At 49.5% G+C, this 19,675-nt stretch overlaps 1 protein-coding gene and 1 non-coding gene across 24 annotated transcripts in view, besides 1 other annotated feature; one reads left to right on the plus strand and one right to left on the minus strand.

The window, feature by feature from the left end:
- MEGF11 (multiple EGF like domains 11) overlaps positions 1 to 19,675 on the minus strand; it is a 358,452-nt gene that overhangs the window by 140,498 nt on the left and 198,279 nt on the right. The gene's annotated exons all lie outside the window — the stretch shown is intronic.
- On the plus strand, positions 4,437 to 4,536 carry MIR4311 (microRNA 4311). Its single transcript, NR_036196.1, has one exon. It is a non-coding gene; the product is annotated as a microRNA 4311 (primary transcript).
- Positions 12,359 to 13,234: an enhancer, noted in NCBI's record as "H3K4me1 hESC enhancer chr15:66340493-66341368 (GRCh37/hg19 assembly coordinates)". NCBI's record gives its function as "activates a minimal SCP1, AML or CMV promoter by ChIP-STARR-seq in primed H9 embryonic stem cells {active_cell/tissue: H9 hESC(primed)}" and the evidence as "EXISTENCE:reporter gene assay evidence [ECO:0000049][PMID:30033119]".

Raw genomic sequence — 19,675 nt, forward strand, 5'->3', positions numbered from 1 at the left:
GATGTTCATCACTGCCATGAGTATCTTTCTGTTTTTAACACACATATATATCCACTATCAATATATATTATAGTTTTGCATGTTTTTAAGCTTCACATCTACGGGTGAATCTGTGGCTGATGGCTTGTGTCCTCTGAGCCACAGCCCCTCAGCCCACCTGCTTTCAGCACAGCTGTGGTGACAGCTCAGAGCACCCCGCCAGTGGCCCCACTTCAGTCCAGTGTCCTTTCTGCTTTCCTGCCTTGGGCTTTCTCCCGAGTTCCAGGAGGCTGATCAGCCTGTGCAGGCACAGCCAGAGGGGCCAGGAGCTGGCATCCCTGGGGACAACCTTCAACCAACGGGAACAGGGATCAGTGATAACCACCCCAGGTCTGTCCTTCAGAGGCCATTTCTCAAGTCCACGCTGCATGATTCTTCGGAGGGACTCCAGCTGCCCACAGCAGTGACCTACTCAGTCATGCACCCTTTACTGGCTTTCCTCTTCTCTATCCTTTCTCCCTGCTCCCTCATTCTCCCTCCCAAAGAAGCTCCCTGCACACTGGTTCTGCCTTTGGGAACCCAAGCTAAGGCAGTATTGCTTTTGCTCTCTGCATTGCTTTGCAGAATTATCCACGTTGCTCCATATTACTCTATTCATTCATTTTCACGGCCACACAGCATTCCACAGAACTGAATATATATCCCCTTTCCAGGTGATGGACATTTGTGTTGCCTCCAATGTTTTGCTATCACACACAGTGCTGCACTGAGCATTCCCATCCAGGTTTTCTGACAGCCTCAGTGTTTCCTATTGGCTTTTTGACACCGAGTCACACCTGCCTTGACCGTCATTTCATCTTTGGAGTCCATGTCTTCCTAACTAAAGGCAAGCCCTGGAAAGTAGAGGAAGGAAAGGGGCGGGGAGGCAAATTAATTCACCAAATAAATTGAGCAGGGAGCTGGGAGCCTTAAACATAAGCTGAATTCAGATTGGTACCCAGCTTGGCATCACCATCCACTCCCAAAGGACCACTCATTCATTCATGTAGGAAGTATTTATGCGCCGGGCACATTAACTGGGATAACAAGCGTCTATCAACTTCCCCTTCCCCTCTCTAATTCCTCCTTGCATTTTTTCTTTCTTCCCTGCTTCCCTGGGGATCCTCCCAGGCCTCAGGGACTCTTGCAGAAAGGGAAGTGCAGAGGCAAAGGCCCTGTCCCTGGCTGGGCTGCTATCCTTGCCAGCAATAACCTACGCTGTCTCTTAGAACAACATGCTGATAATGACATTTCATGGCCTGTTACCCTGCATGCAGATGGCCTGCAAGTGGCAGCTCCGAGTGCTTGTTGCCGGTCAGGCCTCAGTGATGCTGGGAGGGTGATGGGGAAACAGTCCTCGCAGCATCCAGCCCTCCCATTACACCCCACCTGCTCTGGGAAGGCATCCCTGACTCTCCCAGGCACCAAATCCTGTAGGATTTAGCATTTCCGTCTCATACTTACCATGAGTCAATGAACCAATAAGCATTTACTAAACATCTACTACAGTTGGGATAACTAAACCCACTATCTGCCAAAATGAGCCTGTCAGTTTTCGTATCTGAGCTCTACTGCTTTCTTAGTGGATGGCTTCAGGCAGGTGACTTAATCTTTCTATGCCTCAGTTTCCTTAGCTGTAGATAAGAATGGTCCCTGCTTCATAGGGTTGCCATGAGGGCAAAAGCAGTAATCATGTGTAGGTCCATAGAGAAGCACCTGGCACGTAGTAAGTGCTCTTTGAGGGTGAGCTCTTATAACGTGGAAATTCTCCTGGTCCCATCATAGGGTGGGGTGAGGGCAAGTGGGTGGAGAAATGCAAGAAGCTCTGAAACTCAATTGGGGCAGCTCTCTTCCATCAGAACAGGTCTCTCCCACCATCCTGGCAGCCCTCGGCAGGCAGGAGTTTATTTCCCTTATTAGACTAGATTTTCCCTAGGAAAGTCATCTTCCTCCTCAGATTAGAGGCTCTCCAGCAGTAGGAACAATGTCCTCGCCAGTCTGGCTGCTGCCCACTGTGTCTAGCCCGGGGTTCCCCACTGCCACTTCTTCTCTGGAAGAGGAGGTGATCGGGACAAGCACAGGAGGCACCCTCAACCCTGACATCCCCATGGCCACATGATACCTGGAGGTTTGAATAATTAACAGGAAATGTAAAAACAACTGCTTGAAACACTCAAAAAATTCTTTTTATTATCAGCTAATGGTAGCACTTACCAAAGCGGTTTTATATGTAATAAAATTTCTTTATTGTTTCAGGCTTGGCTTAGAGAGGCAGAAAAGGAGACAAGCCCAGAACCAGGGAGAGCAAAGAGAAGAGTAATTAACAAGATGAATAATGGAAACTTCCTAGGAGCACCAGGAATGATAAATTGAGGTGCATACCTGGCTTCTCTTCAAAGACGGGGTGACGGAAAAAGCAGAATTTCTGAGCCCAGGTTTGGGGAGATGTTGATACTTTGGTATGGAGGAAAGAGCAGGGCTCAGGGGAGAGCTGGATTCTTCTCCTGGTTTTGCTATTTGACCATGGGCATGTCACTTCCCTGCCTGCCTCTGAGCCTCCATTTTCTCCTTTATAAAATCGAGGGATGGTTAAGGGAGCGATGCCCTAAAGTCCCCTCAGTGGCTAAGGCTTTGCATCTTTGTGATGTTAGAATCTGTTTTTCACTATTTCCTCTCCTTTCACACCAGGGATAATAAGATTATAGTCTTTTTGCGGCACTTTAATTTAACGAGGCTGTTCAAGCACATCCCATAAAAACATGGGCGGTGTGCCAGGAGAACAGTAATGTCCCCATTTTACAGATGAAAAAACTGAGGCCCAGGCAAGCTAAGTCCCCATTGCTTCAGTTACAACTACTAGCAGCCCAAGGTCACACCTATTATGAAACAGATACCAGGCTGAACCCCGGTTCTGCCTCTGAGTCCTGTGTTCTTCCCACCTTATAATGCAGTTTCCTAGGGCAGATGATGAGAAATTGAGCCAAGTTCACAAATCCAATCACCTGGGTCTCACTGGCATCTGTGCCGAGCAGCACCTGGATCCAAAGCAGGAGGGGAAAAAAGAAGTGGGCATTCCAGGGAAGGCTTAGTTTAACCCTTGGGCACCTGTAGGGCTTAACAGTTCACTCAGGGCACATACTCCTGCCAGTGCAGTCTAGGGAATGGTTCTCAAATTACAGTCCCCAGGCCAGCAGCACCAGCAGGACTGTCTCCTGTGAACTTGCTGGAAATGCAGTCTCGGGCTCCACCTCAGCCCTACCAAAGGAGAAATGAATGATAAATGGGTCCATTTTCTACAGGGTAATGAGGTGACTACCTATGCGATAGAATTTGAGGGATGGCAGCGATGGGATGCATCACTCCACCGAAAAACATCGCCCTTGAGCAGACATGAAAAGACAGAGGAACTTCCATTCCACAGCGAAGAGGTCAGCAAGGATAAATGCTCCCAGGAATGGAACTGCGGTGACCCCACCCACTCCCAGAGGTGGCGGGAGAGGCTTTGCTCAGAGCAGGTCCTGACAGCTGAGGAGGAGGGGAGTTCAGTGATTCTTGATCTCAGCCTAACTTCAGCCTGGGGACCACGTCTCCTGCCTACGGGAAGAGGGAAGAGAGTGGATATGTGCATTTGCTCTCTAATGTGCTGAGCACTGAGTTAGACCTTTTACTGTTATCATTTCATTTGGTTCTCACAGATAGGCATTCTCCCTACTTTACAGACAGAGAAACAGACACAGTGAGTTGAGTAGACTGCCCAACGTAACTCAGGTTACGTTAAGTGGCTGCACCAGGGTTTAAGTTTCAACCTAGGTCTCGATTTCACCCCTCCCACCCCTGCTTTCTCCACCGGACTACATCCTCTAGGAAGCCTGGACTGTCTCAAAGCCCGGCACCTCCAGACAGAGCAGAGGTGAGCCATTTGGCTGAGGGTTCTGAGCCGGGTCAGGCGGCGGTGGGGTGACGGTCCTGAGCCGGGTCAGGCGGCGGTGGGGTGACGGTCCTGAGCCGGGTCAGGCGGCGGTGGGGTGACGGTCCTGAGCCGGGTCAGGCGGCGGTGGGGTGACGGTCCTGAGCCGGGTCAGGCGGCGGTGGGGTGACGGTCCTGAGCCGGGTCAGGCGGCGGTGGGGTGACGGTCCTGAGCCGGGTCAGGCGGCGGTGGGGTGACGGTCCTGAGCCGGGTCAGGCGGCGGTGGGGTGACGGTCAGCCTTCTCTCATCCCTACCTCGTAGCAAGTGTCAGTTACAGTGTCCGAACTGCTGGTCTTTCAATGATGTTCGCTGGGGTTTAAGAGATGAAAATGCCTCACGTGGTATCAGAGGGCTTACTGTCCAACAAGGAAGACAAATGTAACCCAGTCGAAACAGTTGCCAATGGCAGACAGTAAGTGGCTAGACACCAAAGTGAGTGGTTTAACAATTCAGAGAGGGGAAAGAGAGCTGAGTGTGACCTGGAGCAGCTCAGGAGGGCTTCCTGGGTGAGGTGGCAGGTTACAGGTTCGATCTTTGGCCCTCAGATTCAGCACCTGTGGTGGTGGTGGCTGCAGAAAGTGAGGCACTTCGGACTGGCTCTTCGTCAGCACACTAAAACAATTCCAGATGTTTCACTAATGCAATCCCGGCCTCTTTCTCACATAACAATCATCTTTTAATGACACACACTAATGCAGATTGGGTACACCGGGAAGTATATTTCACAGCGATACGTTCTCTGTCCTTCAGGTAGGGCCCCCTCCAAGTCCTACAAGGTGAGGAAGCTGTCTACAGTGGTGGTGGGAGGAAGGTTCATGCCAAGGGCTGATTATGTGGGCACAGAGGTGGCAGTGCTAAATGGGGAGGGTGAAGCCAGTGGATGAGGAGAGGAGTGGAGGGCATTCCAGGGCCTGTCCCTCATCTGGCTGTCGGAGCACTCACATCACGACTGTCATCACTCACTTCCATGGTTGAAACCTCTAGTAGACTGAAGCTCCAGGGAACAGGAACACCATGCATGGTTATGTATGTTGTGCACTGCTCAAGGTACCTGGCCAAGGGGAAAATGGGGCTGAAATCTAGTCCTCAACTGCCCTACTATAGATTCGTATCCACTCAGAGGAAGGGACTTTTTTTTTTTTTCCCCCCCGGTTTTCACAAAGAGGCCACTTAGGCTGACAATAGCCCTGCCCGAGACCATGCCTGTTTGGTCCTGGCTATATCTCTCTCAGTACATGTTTGGTGCATAAATACCTGAATGAAAATAAATAAATGAATGAACATAAGCAAGAATCCATGAATGACTGCATGGCAAAAAGAACTCTTTGAGATGGGCAGGTTTGTTTTTCCCAATTGGTAAATAAGAAGCTGACTTTTGAAAATTGGGGCAGGAACAGTTCTTCCTGTCTAAGCTGGATACAGCTCTGGGCACGGAACAGGTCTTTGGTAAGTTGATCGACTGGGCAAGAGATAAACTGTGTTTATTAAGGCTCACAGACTGCTGGGCAGAAAATGCAAGCTCTCTGCCTTAGGCTCACTACAGAACAAGATGAAGAACTTCTCTGGACCTCAGATTTCCTGTCTGCAGAGTGGGGGTACCCACAACCCCTTCCTCAGAGGGTTTCCATGACAGTGAATGGAACTGTGCATGAGAAAGGGCTCTGTGCTCCACAACAACTGCCCCCATGCACGGAGGGTCGCCTTGCGCTGCACATTGCACTAGGTGCCTCCGATGTACTGTTCAAAGGTTGGCAAACTGTGGCCTCTGGGTCAAACCCTGCCTGCCATTTGTTTTTGTAAATAAGGCTTTATGAATCACAGCAGGCCATTTCTTTGTATGCTACCTGTGTCTGCTTTTGCTCTCCAATAGCAGAGTGGAATCGTTGCGACAGAAACCTTGTATGTGGTTTGCAAAACCTAAAATATTTACTATCTGGTCCTTTACAGAAAAAGTTTGCCAATCCCTGTATTAACTCATTTAAGCCTTCTAACTACCCTCTGAGTTTAGGGCTCATAATATCATCACTCCCATTTTACAGATGAGAAAACAGATGAGACACAGAGTAGCTAAGTTACGTGCTCAAGGTCATACAGCAAGGAAGTGGCAGAGCTGGGATCTAAACCAGGGTCAGCCTGAGTCCATGCTCTTAAAAACCAAATCATCCTGCCTCTCTTGACCCTTAAGCAGCTTTTCTGATCATAAGGGTTCATGTACAAGATCCTCGACCCCCAGGACAAGGAGGGCTCTAGCTCAACAACTTAGAGCCAATTAGAGGGAGGTATTTGGTCATGTAGCAGAGACAGAATGCACAGATTTCTTTCCCTTTTTTTTTTTTTTTTTTCCTGAGACAGAGCCTCACTCCATCACCCAGGCTGGAGTGCAGTGGTGTGATCTCAGCTCACTGCAAACTTTGCCTCCCAGGTTCAGCGATTTTCATGTCTCAGCCTCCCAAGTAGCTGGGATTATTGACGCGCACCACCACACCTGGCTAATTTTTGTATTTTTAGTAGAGACGGGGTTTCACCACGTTGGCCAGGCTAGTCTCGAACTCCTGGCCTCAAGTGATCTGCCCACTTCGGCCTCCCAAAGTGCTGGGATTACAGGCATGAGCCACCACACCCGGCCAAGAATGCACAGATTTCATTACCCAGGGGACGTCAGAGCTGTGAATGGAGGCCAAGAAAGGTTCAGATAAACTTCTGGGGAACAGATATTTTTCCAGGGAGCTCAGAGCACTGGGGGGGAACATATCAGTTTCCCAGCACTGCTGTAAAAATCCACCACAAACTGGGTGGCTTAAAACACAGACATTTATCAACTCACAGTTCCAGAGGTAGAAGTTCTGAAATCCCAAGTCCTGGCAGGGACACACTCCCCCTGAAACCTGTTAGGGCAGTCCCTCCTCGCCCCTCCCAGCTTCTGGTTTGCTGGCATCCTTGGCCTTCCTTGCTGGCCGCTGCATAACTGCAGGCTCCGCTTTGGCCACCTCATGGGATCCCCCATTTGCATGTCTTTACACGGCCTAGGACTGCAGGGCATACTGGATCAGGTGCCCAGCCTCCTCCAGTATGACCTCATCTTAATTTAACTGATGACATCTGCAATGACCCTACTTCCAAATAAGGTCGGTCACATTCAGGCACTGGGGGTTAGGACTTCAATATGCTTTTTTAGAGGGGACATAATTCAGCCTGTAACAGGGAATGTCTCAAAACTCTGAGGGGCTGTCTCAATCCTTCCGAATCAGGGACCCAGCCAGAGATAGAAGAGAGTCCTTCAGGCAAACAAGGCGGGCTGGGGCCATGGCTGTTTCTTATGGTAAATATTATCTTCTAGAGCTTTCCTTGTCTTCACATATTGAGAGCTCTTCGAGGCTGGGTCTGAGTCTTATTCCCTCTGACTCCAGCAGGTGCAAGCACATAGTAGGTATTCAACAGTGGTTGGCAACCCAATGGTCATGTCTAAGTGTCTCTCAGTGCCACTGTCAGAAATGTAGCAGGGCCACAGGGCTGACCAGCTCTGTGGGTCCTCTTGGGCTGAAATCAGATCAAAGAACAGGGCCTTGCCAGGCCAGCTGGGATGCTGGGGGCGTCCTGGGGGACTGAACTGGCCCCATCTGCTCTCCTGGCAGGACTTCTGAGGGATGTCTGGGCAGAAGCCACGATAATACCACACTGCGTGGCCCAGAGGCCCTTCGCCTGTGTGTTTGCACAGCGAATGTAATTATGCCCGCGTGATGTTGACACAAAAGAAGCCATATTTGAGAAGGCTTTATCAGCATCCAGAGTCCCAGATGACCACAACAGAAAGGTTTTCACACACTGCAATCTAAGGAACGTCCTACCCAGAAGAACTGGCCCTGCTGAGAAGCCAGACTCTTTAGAAGCTGTAATGGGGCAGTGACAGGCACCAGGAACCTACTCATGTCCCCACATGGGACTCTGTCATTTATTCACTCAACAGACACACCCAGTTTCTAGTGAACTGAGCACTGGGGAATTGAAGATGAAAAAGACCCAATACCAGCCCCAGAGCGGGAAGGATGAACAGAAGTAAGCGACCACATAAATGCTGAAGTATTTACAGATCAACCAGCACGATGCCTGGGCAAGGGGGAAAGGGAGTGGGGTAATCATGACATGGGAGTCATTATATTATTCTTTTGCTTTTATATATATTTGAAATATTCCTCAATAAGGCTTTTAAGAAACAAAAACTGAAAAGATGCAAGGGGTGCTTGGTGTAGTGGGTGGTGTATGGAGGAAAGTTTTGAGAATGCTTCCCACAGGAGGCAGTGATCTGGGTCTAATCTGAGAAAGGAGAGGAAACCTCGACCCTTGGGGAGCTTGTACAAAGCAATGAACATCTCCACTATGGCAAGGTGATGTGGAAGGAATATAGTTGCTAGCATCACCCAGACCTGGGTTCGAATCCCATCCATAAATTAGGGAAAATAATACATACCTTATAGAGTAGTTGTTGGTACTAAGGAAGGTAATAGGAGAGAAGGGGCAATGGAGTAGACACTGAATTGTGATCATTTCATCCAACCCTCCACTCATTAATCCATCCATCACCTGCTCATTACCACACTGTGTTCTCTCTGTGCTCCAGTCCACATTGTGAACTTCTTCAAGGCAGAAAGGGAGAATGTACATCTTTCTATCTCTGATGCCACACACAGGGCCAGCACCCCAGGAGGTGCCCATAATTCTCAAGAGTAAACAGGTGATGAGATGTCCTCTTACTTCTGCATTAGGGGGTCACTTTTCTTAAAAATTGAACTGGTGTGCTGGCTCATGCTTGTAATCTCAGTATTTTGGGAGACTGAGAATTGCTTGAGTCCAGAAGTTTGAGACCAGCCTGGGCAAGGTAGCAAGACCTCGTATCACTAAAAATAATAATAATAATAATAATAAATAGCCAGGTGTGGTGGCAGGTGCCTGTAGTCCCAGTTACCTGAGAGGCTGAGGCGGGAGAATTGCTTGAGCCCAGGAGTTGGAGGCTGCAGTGAGCTATGATCACATCACTGCACTGCAGCCTGGATGACAGTGAGACCTTATCTCAAAAAAAAAAAAAAAAAAAAAAAAAAAAAAGAAATTGAACTGGAATGTGAGGAGAATGGAGAGGTGATGTCTTAACCATAAGGCTTGTGTCCACAGAACGAGGAGCTGGGAGAAAGTCTTAGCAGTGCCCTGCAGCAGGACAGACTGGATTATGAAGCTCAAACAGTGCAAGATGAAAAAGTATATTAAGTCAGGATAGTCTGGGTCCTGCTGCTATAATAAACATCCCCCAAATCTAAAAGCCTTAAAATAACAAAAATGTATATATCGCTCATACAAAATCTATTGTGGGTCCAGGCAGCTTCCCAGGGCGGTTGGCCTTCATGAGAGATTCAGCAATCCAGGCATTTCTGTTTTGTAGCTCTACTATCTCTACCTGAGGCTTCCAGTTTGCCATGGCAGGACAGAGCCTCTCATACCTCACTGCTCTCCTGTGGATGCCTAGAGCCCTGTGGCTGTAGAACCCAGGAGGGCTTTTGTCCAAGGGTCCTGAGCCATAGGCTTGGCAGGAGAGAGGGGAGGGATGGGGAGTCTGCTGCTGCCTGCCTGCCTGTCCACTTAAGGCACTTTCTGAGGGCTCGCCTGCCCATCCCAAGCCCTGAATTGCCCTGGGCAGTGGTTGCTCTGATTCAGGACCCCTTGGCTCAGCATCTCAGCTTGATATCAATGCCCACCCAACAGCCCATGGGCTCTACTCCATTTCCCCTTGTAGCCAGGCAGGTCTGGAAGACTAGTCCGGGCCAGCAGGCTGTGAATGGAGTGACATGTGTCACCTCCAAATGAAACACAGAAGAGTGGGTGTGATTCTGACATATACCCTAACTCCCTCAGTCTCTAACAACTGCAGTGCTTTATGTGGGCAGGGCGCTTTACAGTTTGCAGAGTGGTTTACAGTTGGCAGGGCACTTTCTTCACCCTTATCTCATTTGAGCCTCCCTACAACCCTGTGCAATAAAGATGACTGTATCCTGGCTAGGCACGGTGGCTCACGACTGTAATCCCAGCACTTTGGGAGGTCGAGGTGGGTGGATCACTTGAGGTCAGGAGTTCAAGACCAGCCTGGCCAACATGGTGAAATCCTGTCTCTACTAAAAATACAAAAATTAGCATGGTGTGGTGGTATGCACCTGTAATCCCAGCTACTCGGGAGGCTGAGGCAGGCGAATTGCTTGAACCTGGGAGGCGGAGGTTGCAGTGAGCCGAGATCCCACCACTGCATTCCAGCCTGGGCAACAGAGTGAGACTCTGTCTCAAAAAAAGATTACTGTATCTTCATTTTGCAGCTGTGGCAACTGAGGCTCAGAAAGGTGAAGGGACCTGCTCCAGTTCACATGGCAACTAAGTAGCAGGAAGCTGACTCCTCACGCTTCCTTGCCTTATTTTCTTCTTTCTCTTCCCCTAGCTTACTACCTCCCCCTGCAGCCCTTAACGTACACCCAGGATCCCAAATCGCCATCTGGACTATCCAAACTTCCCAAATATCCCACATAGCCTTTGAGAGTTCTTAACCTAATGGAGGAAGCACACCCCAGACTCCAGAAGTGTAGGTACCCAGGCTGCATGCAGTGTAGGCACCTCACGGGACGTGGTGGTCAGGCTTTCTTTAGAGCTCAGCTGAAGCCGAAGGGACGGCAGAGCTGGGTGGATGGTCAGACTTTGGGGACAGGCACTGCCGAGCATCCTGCAGGTTCTCTGCAGCTGCTGCAGGCTGAGGGCCTCAGCTCTTGGCTAAGACTTCTCACGCAGGCTTAGGCTGAGTGCCGGGGCCAAGGGGGCTTCCTTGTTTGCTTTGTTCTTAAAGGATTTGCCCATTTGTAGCAGACACCGTGCCCACTTCTAAAGAGAGAGCCCAGAGCAGTGATGAGGAGAGATGCAGCCCCTGAGCCTCAATACCCAGCCAAGCCTGACTTTGCTAACACACACAGTAGGCTTTGCTGGCCTCTGTATCTTTGCCTAGGCTGTCCCTTATCATATTTTTCCCTCCCCTCTGCCCAAGGCTCACCTGTGTACAATCTGCCAGTTCCCCTCCTCACTCCAATCCCCAGCATCACTGTGAGGAATGGGGACAACAAGGACAGGGAGGTCCCCAGGTTCCCCCTGCAGGTGACACACTGCTCTTTCAGGAAGTGATATTGTCAGTGAATGTACAAAATCAATACACACAGATTTCAGCACATCCCATGAAGTTCACCTCTCAGCAGATTCTGAAAAGCTGGGTCGAAAGGGAGCCACATCAGGTGTTGTGCTGACCTCTGCCTTTTAAAGGAGGACTTAGGAGGCAAACACCCTCCCCACAGATGAGGGATTCAGTGAGGTCCTCTCCAAATGCCTGCTGTGTAGAACAGGCATTTAAAAAGCTGCTGGGCAGTTGTCAATAGCATGGCATAGTGAAAAGAGCTTTTTTTGTTGTTGTATGTTGTTCAACAAACAGAAGTGGGATTCAATCCCAGCTTTGGCGTTTCCTAGCTGTGTGACCTGGGGCCAGTTACTGAACATCTCTAAGCCTCGATTTCTTCTACCACTTCCTAGCTAGGCGAGTTACATGTCTTCTCTGAGCCATGGTTTCCTCATCTACAAGATGGGACTGACTCTACCCTCCTCATGAGCTTGTATTAAGGATCAAATGAAATATGAGCACACACCTACAGCACTGGGAATAATAAACACGAACTCCCCAGTCTTTATGATGGCCATGAATAACCTGTTCCATCCCATAAAGAATAACACCTGGTGTCTAGAATAGACACCTTCTTCAGGTCCTTTTATGTCCTTACTGTTTTTAATCCCTTTTTCCCTGGCCCACAAACTCCATCCAAACCACCAGTGAAGCTGCTTGAAAAGGTGAGAACAAAAGGGGTTGACAGCAGGCAGGAGGCCCAGTGGGCCTGGGGGAGTCTGGGCCGAGCGGCTCTTGCAACATGCCAGCCAGGCTGCCTGCTCTACAGGGACGTCCCCCAGGACTGGGGCTGAGAGATGGCTTCTTGGCCTACATGCCCTCCCGTGGGGCAGAAGCGTGGTCTGAAGTAGAAGGTGTCACACTGGGCCTCGGGTGGAGGGGAGGCCTGAGGGGACATTGTTATCTCCATGGGCCCTGGGAGGAGTGTTTTTTTTTTTTCTTTTTTGACAGAGCCTCTACCCAGGCTGGAGGGCAATGGTGTGATCTCAGCTCACTGCAACCTCTGCCTCCTGGGTTCAAGTGATTCTCCTGCCTCAGCCTCCCTAGAAGCTGGGACTACAGGCATGTACCACCACGCCCAGCTAATTTTTGTATTTTTAGTAGAGGCAGGGTTTCACCATGTTGGCCAGGCTGCTCTTGAATTCCTGACCCCAAGTGATCTGCCCGCCTTGGCCTCCCAAAGTGCTGGGATTACAGGCATGAGGCACCGCGCCCAGCCAGGAGGAGGGTTTGTTTTACTAACTGCTCATGGAGAAGGCTCACAGGAGCAGGGGTTAGAGGACCCAAGGAAGAGCTCTGTGTCTCTCTAAGCCACCCAATCCTGCACTATGTCACCAAGGGGGTGACCCCGCAGGCACCCTTCTCTGGGAGGTTCAAAGGAAAGCAGAAACAGCCATTGGCATGGATTTCAACAAGGGACAGACGGCTTCTCTCTGCAGCCCAGGGGCTCTGTGGGCTTAGCAGCCATGTGAGCAAGTCTGCTTCTGAACCCAGCCACCCTGACTCCCTGCCCACAAAACACCTCCCCGACAGCTCACTGATGACCAAGGGAAGCAACACACACAGAGACATCTTGTGGGCTGGTCTGCAGACGCCAAGTGCCTGGCCTATGCTGGCTGGTAGACTGAACCTCCTGCCCACCTTGCCACGCTGGTGGGTGGCAAAAAGGGAGGGAAAGGCCTGGCCCTCTAAGGGTCCCAGATGGGCAAGTGAGTCCACAGGGGCCTAACTTGCCCCACAAGTGACATTGTTAAGTTCTAGGCAGCAGAATTGACAGATAAAATCCTAACGCTATCCCCTTGTAGAAATTTCTGGGGCCCTCTGCTCAGCACTCCACAGGCATTACCCCCTCCAGACCTCAAGGCAGCCTTGGGAAGGGCACGCTTTCTACATTCTCATTTTACAGTTGGGGAAACTGAGGTTAAATGACCTTCAGCCCAGCTCTCTCTCCTCTCAGAAGAGACCACCAGGGGTTTGTCCTATAATGAGAGGAAGGGCTGCAGAAGAGAGCTGGGGCCAGAGTGGGCATTCTGGGGGAGGCAGCCACAGTGCCCAAATTGCATCCCTCAGCCCCGCAAAGTCACAGCATAAGCTGGAGTCACCCCTGCCTTTGGAACTGGTTAAGTATTGGCTCCCAGATGGGCTATTATTTCCTGGACTGACTGCAAACCAGGCGAGGATCCACTTATTCTCAGGAGGGTAGGATCTAGTCCCTATTATCTTCCTCATCACAGAAAGCCTGTATTCTAGGTTCCAACTCTGGGTTTTAAATTGCATCGTACCTGGGGCTCCTGGGTCAGGAAAAGGGTTGGGGTAGGGGGAGAGGTGACAAAGGAGAAAGGCTGGTGTGTTCATAGTTCTAATTTACTGATAGCAATTAGCTTCCTAAAACGGCTGACCTTTCAACCTTCTGCCTGCCTTCACTGGGGGAACTATTGACATTTAGAATCTATCTGCAGGCCAAGTGCCGCAGTGAGGGAAGCAATGTTTTTTTAATGGGGACTTGCGCCTGTGGAAGCGTTTTCCCCACCCCATGCCATTTGCATACTTTACAGGGTATAGGTCGAGCTGCATGTTAACGGGTTTGCTGGCTTTCTGGAAAAGTGAGTGCCAGTGATTATGGGAATTATTACATATGTGGTTTCCAGATGCATCTGTTGTTGCATCCTTACACCCTCTCTCTGCTCTGGAAGAAGAGGCAGAAAGAGTGGCAACTGGGATGGGGCCCAGAGCTTCACTCCCTCAGGATCTAAGCAGGTAAAAGGGTCCTTTTCCCCACCTGCCTTCTGGCCAAGAACCCACCCTTCTCCCAGAGCTGATGGCGACTTCCAATAGTCACGGCGTCTAGCCCAGCCAGGGCCTCTCTGTCTCTGTAATCTATTCATCCACTCATTTATTCATTTATTCATTCAAGCAACTAATATTTATCAAGGGCTTCTTATGGGCTGGGCACTATTCTAGGTACTGAGGATACAGTCAAGAATTAGACAAATCTAGTCTCTGCTCTCATGGAACCTACATTCCGTGTTAAAAATTTTTAAAAATATAATTGAGACAGGGTCTCACTGTGTTGCCCAGGCTAAACTACAGTGGTGTGATCATAGCTCACTGCAGCCTTCAACTCCAGGGCTCAAGCAATCCTCCTGTCTCAGCCTCCCGAGTAGCTGGAACTACAGGTGCACATCAGCACACCTGACTAGAGCCCCTACATTCTGGTGGAAAAGACAGAGGATAAACAAAAGAACTAAATGCAATACGTGGAATAGACTGTCCAATGTGGGAGAGCAATATGTAGGGAAAGGGGAAGAGGGGGCTGGGGTAGAGACCTACACTTTTAACACAGTGTCAGGAAAAGCCTCAGCAAGGACACATTTGAGCAAAGACCTGAAGCGAGCAGTGAGCCATGTGGAGGCAGAGGAAACAGCCAGTGCAAAGGCCCTGAGGTTCCTGAGAGACCTGCCATGTGCAAGGGGCAGGAGGGAGGTCAGGGAGGCTAGCAATGAGTGAGAGAGGTGGGTAAGGATCACACGGGGCCTTAGACACCCACATGGGGCTTCGGCTCTTACCCTGAGTGTGATGGGAGCCATCGGAGGCCTGGCATGACCTGACCAATGTTTTAAAAGGCCCACTCTGACAGCTGCATGGAGAGTAGCTATTGGGATTAGAGAATAGATGGAGAGCAGTTAGGAGACTCTGGCTGTAATCCAGGAAGAAGGTCATTGCAGCTCCAGGGGAGTCCACACATCTTCCCAGCCAGGGCCCACCCTGACCATCAGAAGGGTCACACATAATCCCATATGTGCCAGGGATCAGCCAAGCACTCACCCTGGGATTGCCGGGCCATTTCAGAGGCTGGCACTGCCCTCTGGGGGTTTAAAGCCTATCTTGGGGCAAGAAGATGCCTGAGTTAAAAGATAATTAGCCTTACCTGGCAGCATTTACAGAGAGCTCTTCCCAAGGGAATGACTGAGGGCATCCAGTTCAGAGGAGCATGGCTTAGGCATTTTTCTGTGACAGATATGAGCCCCAAAGGACAATCATTACAACGAACACTATGCCTCATAGCACTTGACCATACAAAGTGCTTTCACCTCCATTATTTCATGGGAGTCTCACAACAACCCCACAAGTTAGGTATTATTATTTTATTATTGTTAGTATTATTCCCTTTTTGCAGATGAAGAAACTGAGGCCTCAGCTGGGGGAGCAGAGAGGAAGTACAGGGAGTCAAGACTGGGAGATGAGTGTTGGCGGGAAGAAGGGTGGACCCTGGAGAGTCCTGGGTCTCATTGCTTCCATTTTCCATGCCAGACAAGCCCATTCAGACTAAAGAGGCTGGGATGGGAAGCAGGAAAAAAGCCAAGACTTTCAGGAAGTAGACTCTGAGACCTGGTCCACCCCAGACCTACCAGGTCAAACACCCCCTTTTCCAACAGAGAAGTCTGTCTCAACTCCATCCAGGGAAGAAAAAGCACAGAGGGAAGACAAGAGTTGGCTTATCCCAAGTCAGCTCTCTCTCAAAGGCTTCCCCCTGCCCATTCCACCAGATGAGAGCATTCCGCCCAGCCACTTCAGATTTGCCATGCCCCAGAGTTGTTAAATGAAGGTGCTGGTGGCAGCCATCCCATCTGCAGGGGCTGGAGCCTTGGGGCATGCTCGGTGGCTCCTTGGCTCTGTGTAGCTTCTGCTCTCACAGCTGACCAGGGCTTAGAACTCAGAGGGGAGGGAGGGAGGAAATGACTGGGAAGGGCTCACTGGTCGATTTCGGCATCTCTGGCACCTGTTCGTTCAGGTGCTCATTTAGACTCCAGAGAAAGCGAGTGCTGTGCAGTTTCGTGGAACTTCCTTGGGAACTTGAGCCCACATTTATAATAGATTTATAAGAACAGTGTAGACATGTTTGCTGTTTTTTCAGCCCCTCCTAAGTGATGCCATTATGGCGGCCATAACTCTTATTTACTCCATCAGCAGGCTGCTGGCAACGGCACAAAAATAGATTTGGAGAATTTATCTCATACATGCATCATGAGGAGGCAACAGAGGCGCACAGGTGAGATTTATGTGGGTAGGGGTGAGCATCCATCATCCCCACTTTCCCATTAACGCTGCTCCTCAAAGAGAGGCATTAGCCTTCTTAATCAGAGCAAAGTAATTGTTTAAACTTCCTCCCTGCAACGGGCTCATCACTCCTCATTGCTCTCCAGGTGGGGCTGTGCTGGGGGTGGGGGGCAAGGTGTTTGCTTTCAGAGAACAGCAGGATGGATGGTAAATGATGATGGTGAGATGATGGCCCAGCCGTCCTTGTTACTTCCCCTGTTACTCTGGTATGGGCCACAGTCAAGGAGCTCCACAGAAGGGATGCCTGGGTGTTTGGGAAGAGGTCTGTTTGTTTTATGACTTGAAAGAGCTCTCAAAAGCACATAGAGGTTCTTGTCTCCAAATTCACCAGCCTCAATCCTGATCCACATCCTGGGCTGCGCTGTGACTCCATTTCAACTTGAAACGACTTTTCCCCTGTCTATTCCAGGCCTGCCTGTTCTTCAAAGCCCAGATCAAATCATGCCTCCTTCTCGATGCTTTCCCCAACTGCTAGCAGAGAGGGCTAGGAGAAGCTACTCTAAGCCGAGAGAAAGATGATAATGGGCCAACTCCCGAAACTACCATCATCCAGGCCTCCCCTCAGTGGCTGTGAGGCTGCACTAGGGGGCTTCTAGGAACCTTCTGAGGCCCTCCCATCTTTGAACAACTAAACCATGTTAGAAGGTTCTCAACTCTGGCTACGTATTGAAATTCCCAGGGAGCTTTTAAAAAATACCAAAGCTTAGCCCCACCCTTGACCAAAGAAATTAGAATCTCTGGCGAATTGGGCATCAGTATTTTTAATGCCCAGGTGCTTCTAATATGCAGCCAGAGTGGGAAGAATCAACTTAGGATCTTGATGACCCAGTTTATAATGACTATGGTAAATGCCAAATGGATGGATGCATGGGTTGATGGGCAGATGAATGGACAAGTGGACAGGTACATGGATGGATAGATGGATGGATGCATGAGTGGCAGGGTGGATGGGTAGGTTGGTGGGTGAATGGGTGGGTGGGCCAGTGAATGTATGGATAATAAATGGATACTTCCTTGTAATTGTTCACTACTTTCACTGGATTAACTTTGCCTTCTCATTGAGCTTCCTTAAGGCAATGATTTTTCATATCCTTTGTGTTTTCCACAATGCTTAGCATAGAGCCAGATATAAGTATGCGAAGGAGTACTAACATCCTTGCCTGTTAAAAACACTAGACGAGGAGATGGGGACTTAAATATTACATCTTCATTGATTGTGACTTTAGTTCAATTAACCTGCTTTAGATTTCTCATGCTGTTAGTAACAACATGGCAGGGTCAAGTGGCTCAGATAATTTTGAAATGTAGTATACATAGGGGAATGGGGTTATCATTATTATCATTATCATTATTTAGTTCCCCAACCCAACAGCAGTTTTCCCAATCTCCCTTACATTGCTGGTAATCAGCAGCCATCCTGCCTTCTGTGATGTTTTAGTTGCCACCCTCAGGGCCCAGACCCCTGCTCATGGAGACATGGCCCAGACACTCTGGGAACCCTTGAAACCTAACACTAATCCTCTCCATTCCCAGCCAGGGCCAGGACTCAGCTCCCCCTCCCCTGGCACCAATTTTTTTTTTTTTTTTTTTTTTTTTTTTTTGAGACAAGGTCTCACTCTGTTGCTCAGGCTGGAGTGCAGTGGTGTGATCATGGTTCACTGCAGCCTCAACCTCCCTGGGCTCAGGTGATCCTCCTACCTTAGCCTCCCAAATAGCTGGGACTACAGGCATGCACCACCATGCCTGGCTAATTTTTGTAGAGTCAGGGTTTTGCCATGTTGCCCAGGCTGTTGGTCTTGAACTCCTGAGCTCAAGCAATCTGCCCAGCTCAGCCTCCCAAAGTGCTGGGATTATAGATTTGAGCCACCATGCCCGGCCTCCCTGACCCCTTTGATCTCCACTGGAGGCCTTAGCCTTTCTTTTGCCAGTTCTCCCCTCCTGGCTGGCATCCTTGCCCTCTTGGGTCCCCAGTTCCCAGCTCTGCTCAGTTCCCTGAAGCCTTCCTGGCAGGGCTGCCTGGCCCAGCCCCTGTCTCCTAAGTGCCTGCCTGGTTGCGTTGATGCAGCAGCTCCTAGCCAGCTGCTCTCCACTGGCTGGCAGTCCACCCTGTACTCTAGCCAACCATGTGAAACACAAAAGCGATCAGGTCCCCTCTTGGTTTAAAATTCTCTGCAGGCTCCTCCATGAGGGCCTCTCACAGCCTGATCCTAACAGGTCCCTCCAGAGTCAACTCCAGCCCCTCATCTCCACCTGCCCCCACAGACTCTCCAACATTCCCAGACTACCTGGGCCCTTTCCCAACTCCTGGCCTTTGAATGTGCTGCTCCCACTGCCTAGAATGTCCCTTCCCCACTCTGGCTTCTTCACTTGGCAAACTCTAACTCGGTCTTTAAAAATCACCTCCAGGGGTGTCTGGATGAAGATTTCCTCCATTGGCCTGGGCAGAGTGAGCGGCCTGGAAAATGGAGTGAGCACACATGTTGAACACTTGGGCTGCAGAGGTATTCTTTTAAAAGTATCACAAGAAAGGCCAGATAATGGAATTAGGGCCTTACTCTACTATATAAAGTCTTCATTTTAAACACACAGTCATTGAGAGGTGCTCTTAAATAGGGAACTACCTTGGGAAATTTGATGCAGTCCTCAAACTTGAGGAAAAGGCAGGGTTATGAGGGTGGTAAAGGGAAGATTAAAGGTGGAAACGAAGGAAAGAGAGGGAGGGATAGTAAAGAGAAGAGAAAAGGATGAAATACAAAAGGGAAGAAGGGAATAGTCCAGAAAGTATATGTCTACATCTCAAGATTATAAAAGAGGCTATTCTCTAGAAGCCGGCAGTAAATTAGATGCTATTATTGGTGTAGACATGGAATCTGGAAAAGTGAGTACAGACTTAGAATCTGGGTGACTGGGTAGCCATCCCTCCTGTATTGAACCACACAAGAAAGACTAACCAAGTTAGCTCTTGATAAAATACACCCACAATTCCACCGGCAAGTGCTCACTGCCCTTAGACAAGATTCGTGGTCAAACTGTACCGGTTTAGCTCTGATAAGGCTGCACACTACTGAACCTTTAGATTATTTTACGAGATGTAATGCATAAATACTCTGGGCCATTGGCACTAAGGATTCAGTAAAACTATCGAGATTCGTAGGCCCAGGATAAAGCTCATATAAAGTTCGTGTTCTTTAGCTAATGCAGCTTTCAATTATGCTCACCCATTTTACACTGTAAAAGATGTAATTTAATCAAACATTTAATTTGCAAGTGTTTTTCTTCGTAAATGTCATGTACAAGGAGATATTCAGACGTGATCCACAACATAAT

The sequence above is a fragment of the Homo sapiens genome, chromosome 15, assembly GCF_000001405.40.
Source record: "Homo sapiens chromosome 15, GRCh38.p14 Primary Assembly".
Taxonomy (NCBI): Eukaryota; Metazoa; Chordata; class Mammalia; order Primates; family Hominidae; genus Homo; species Homo sapiens.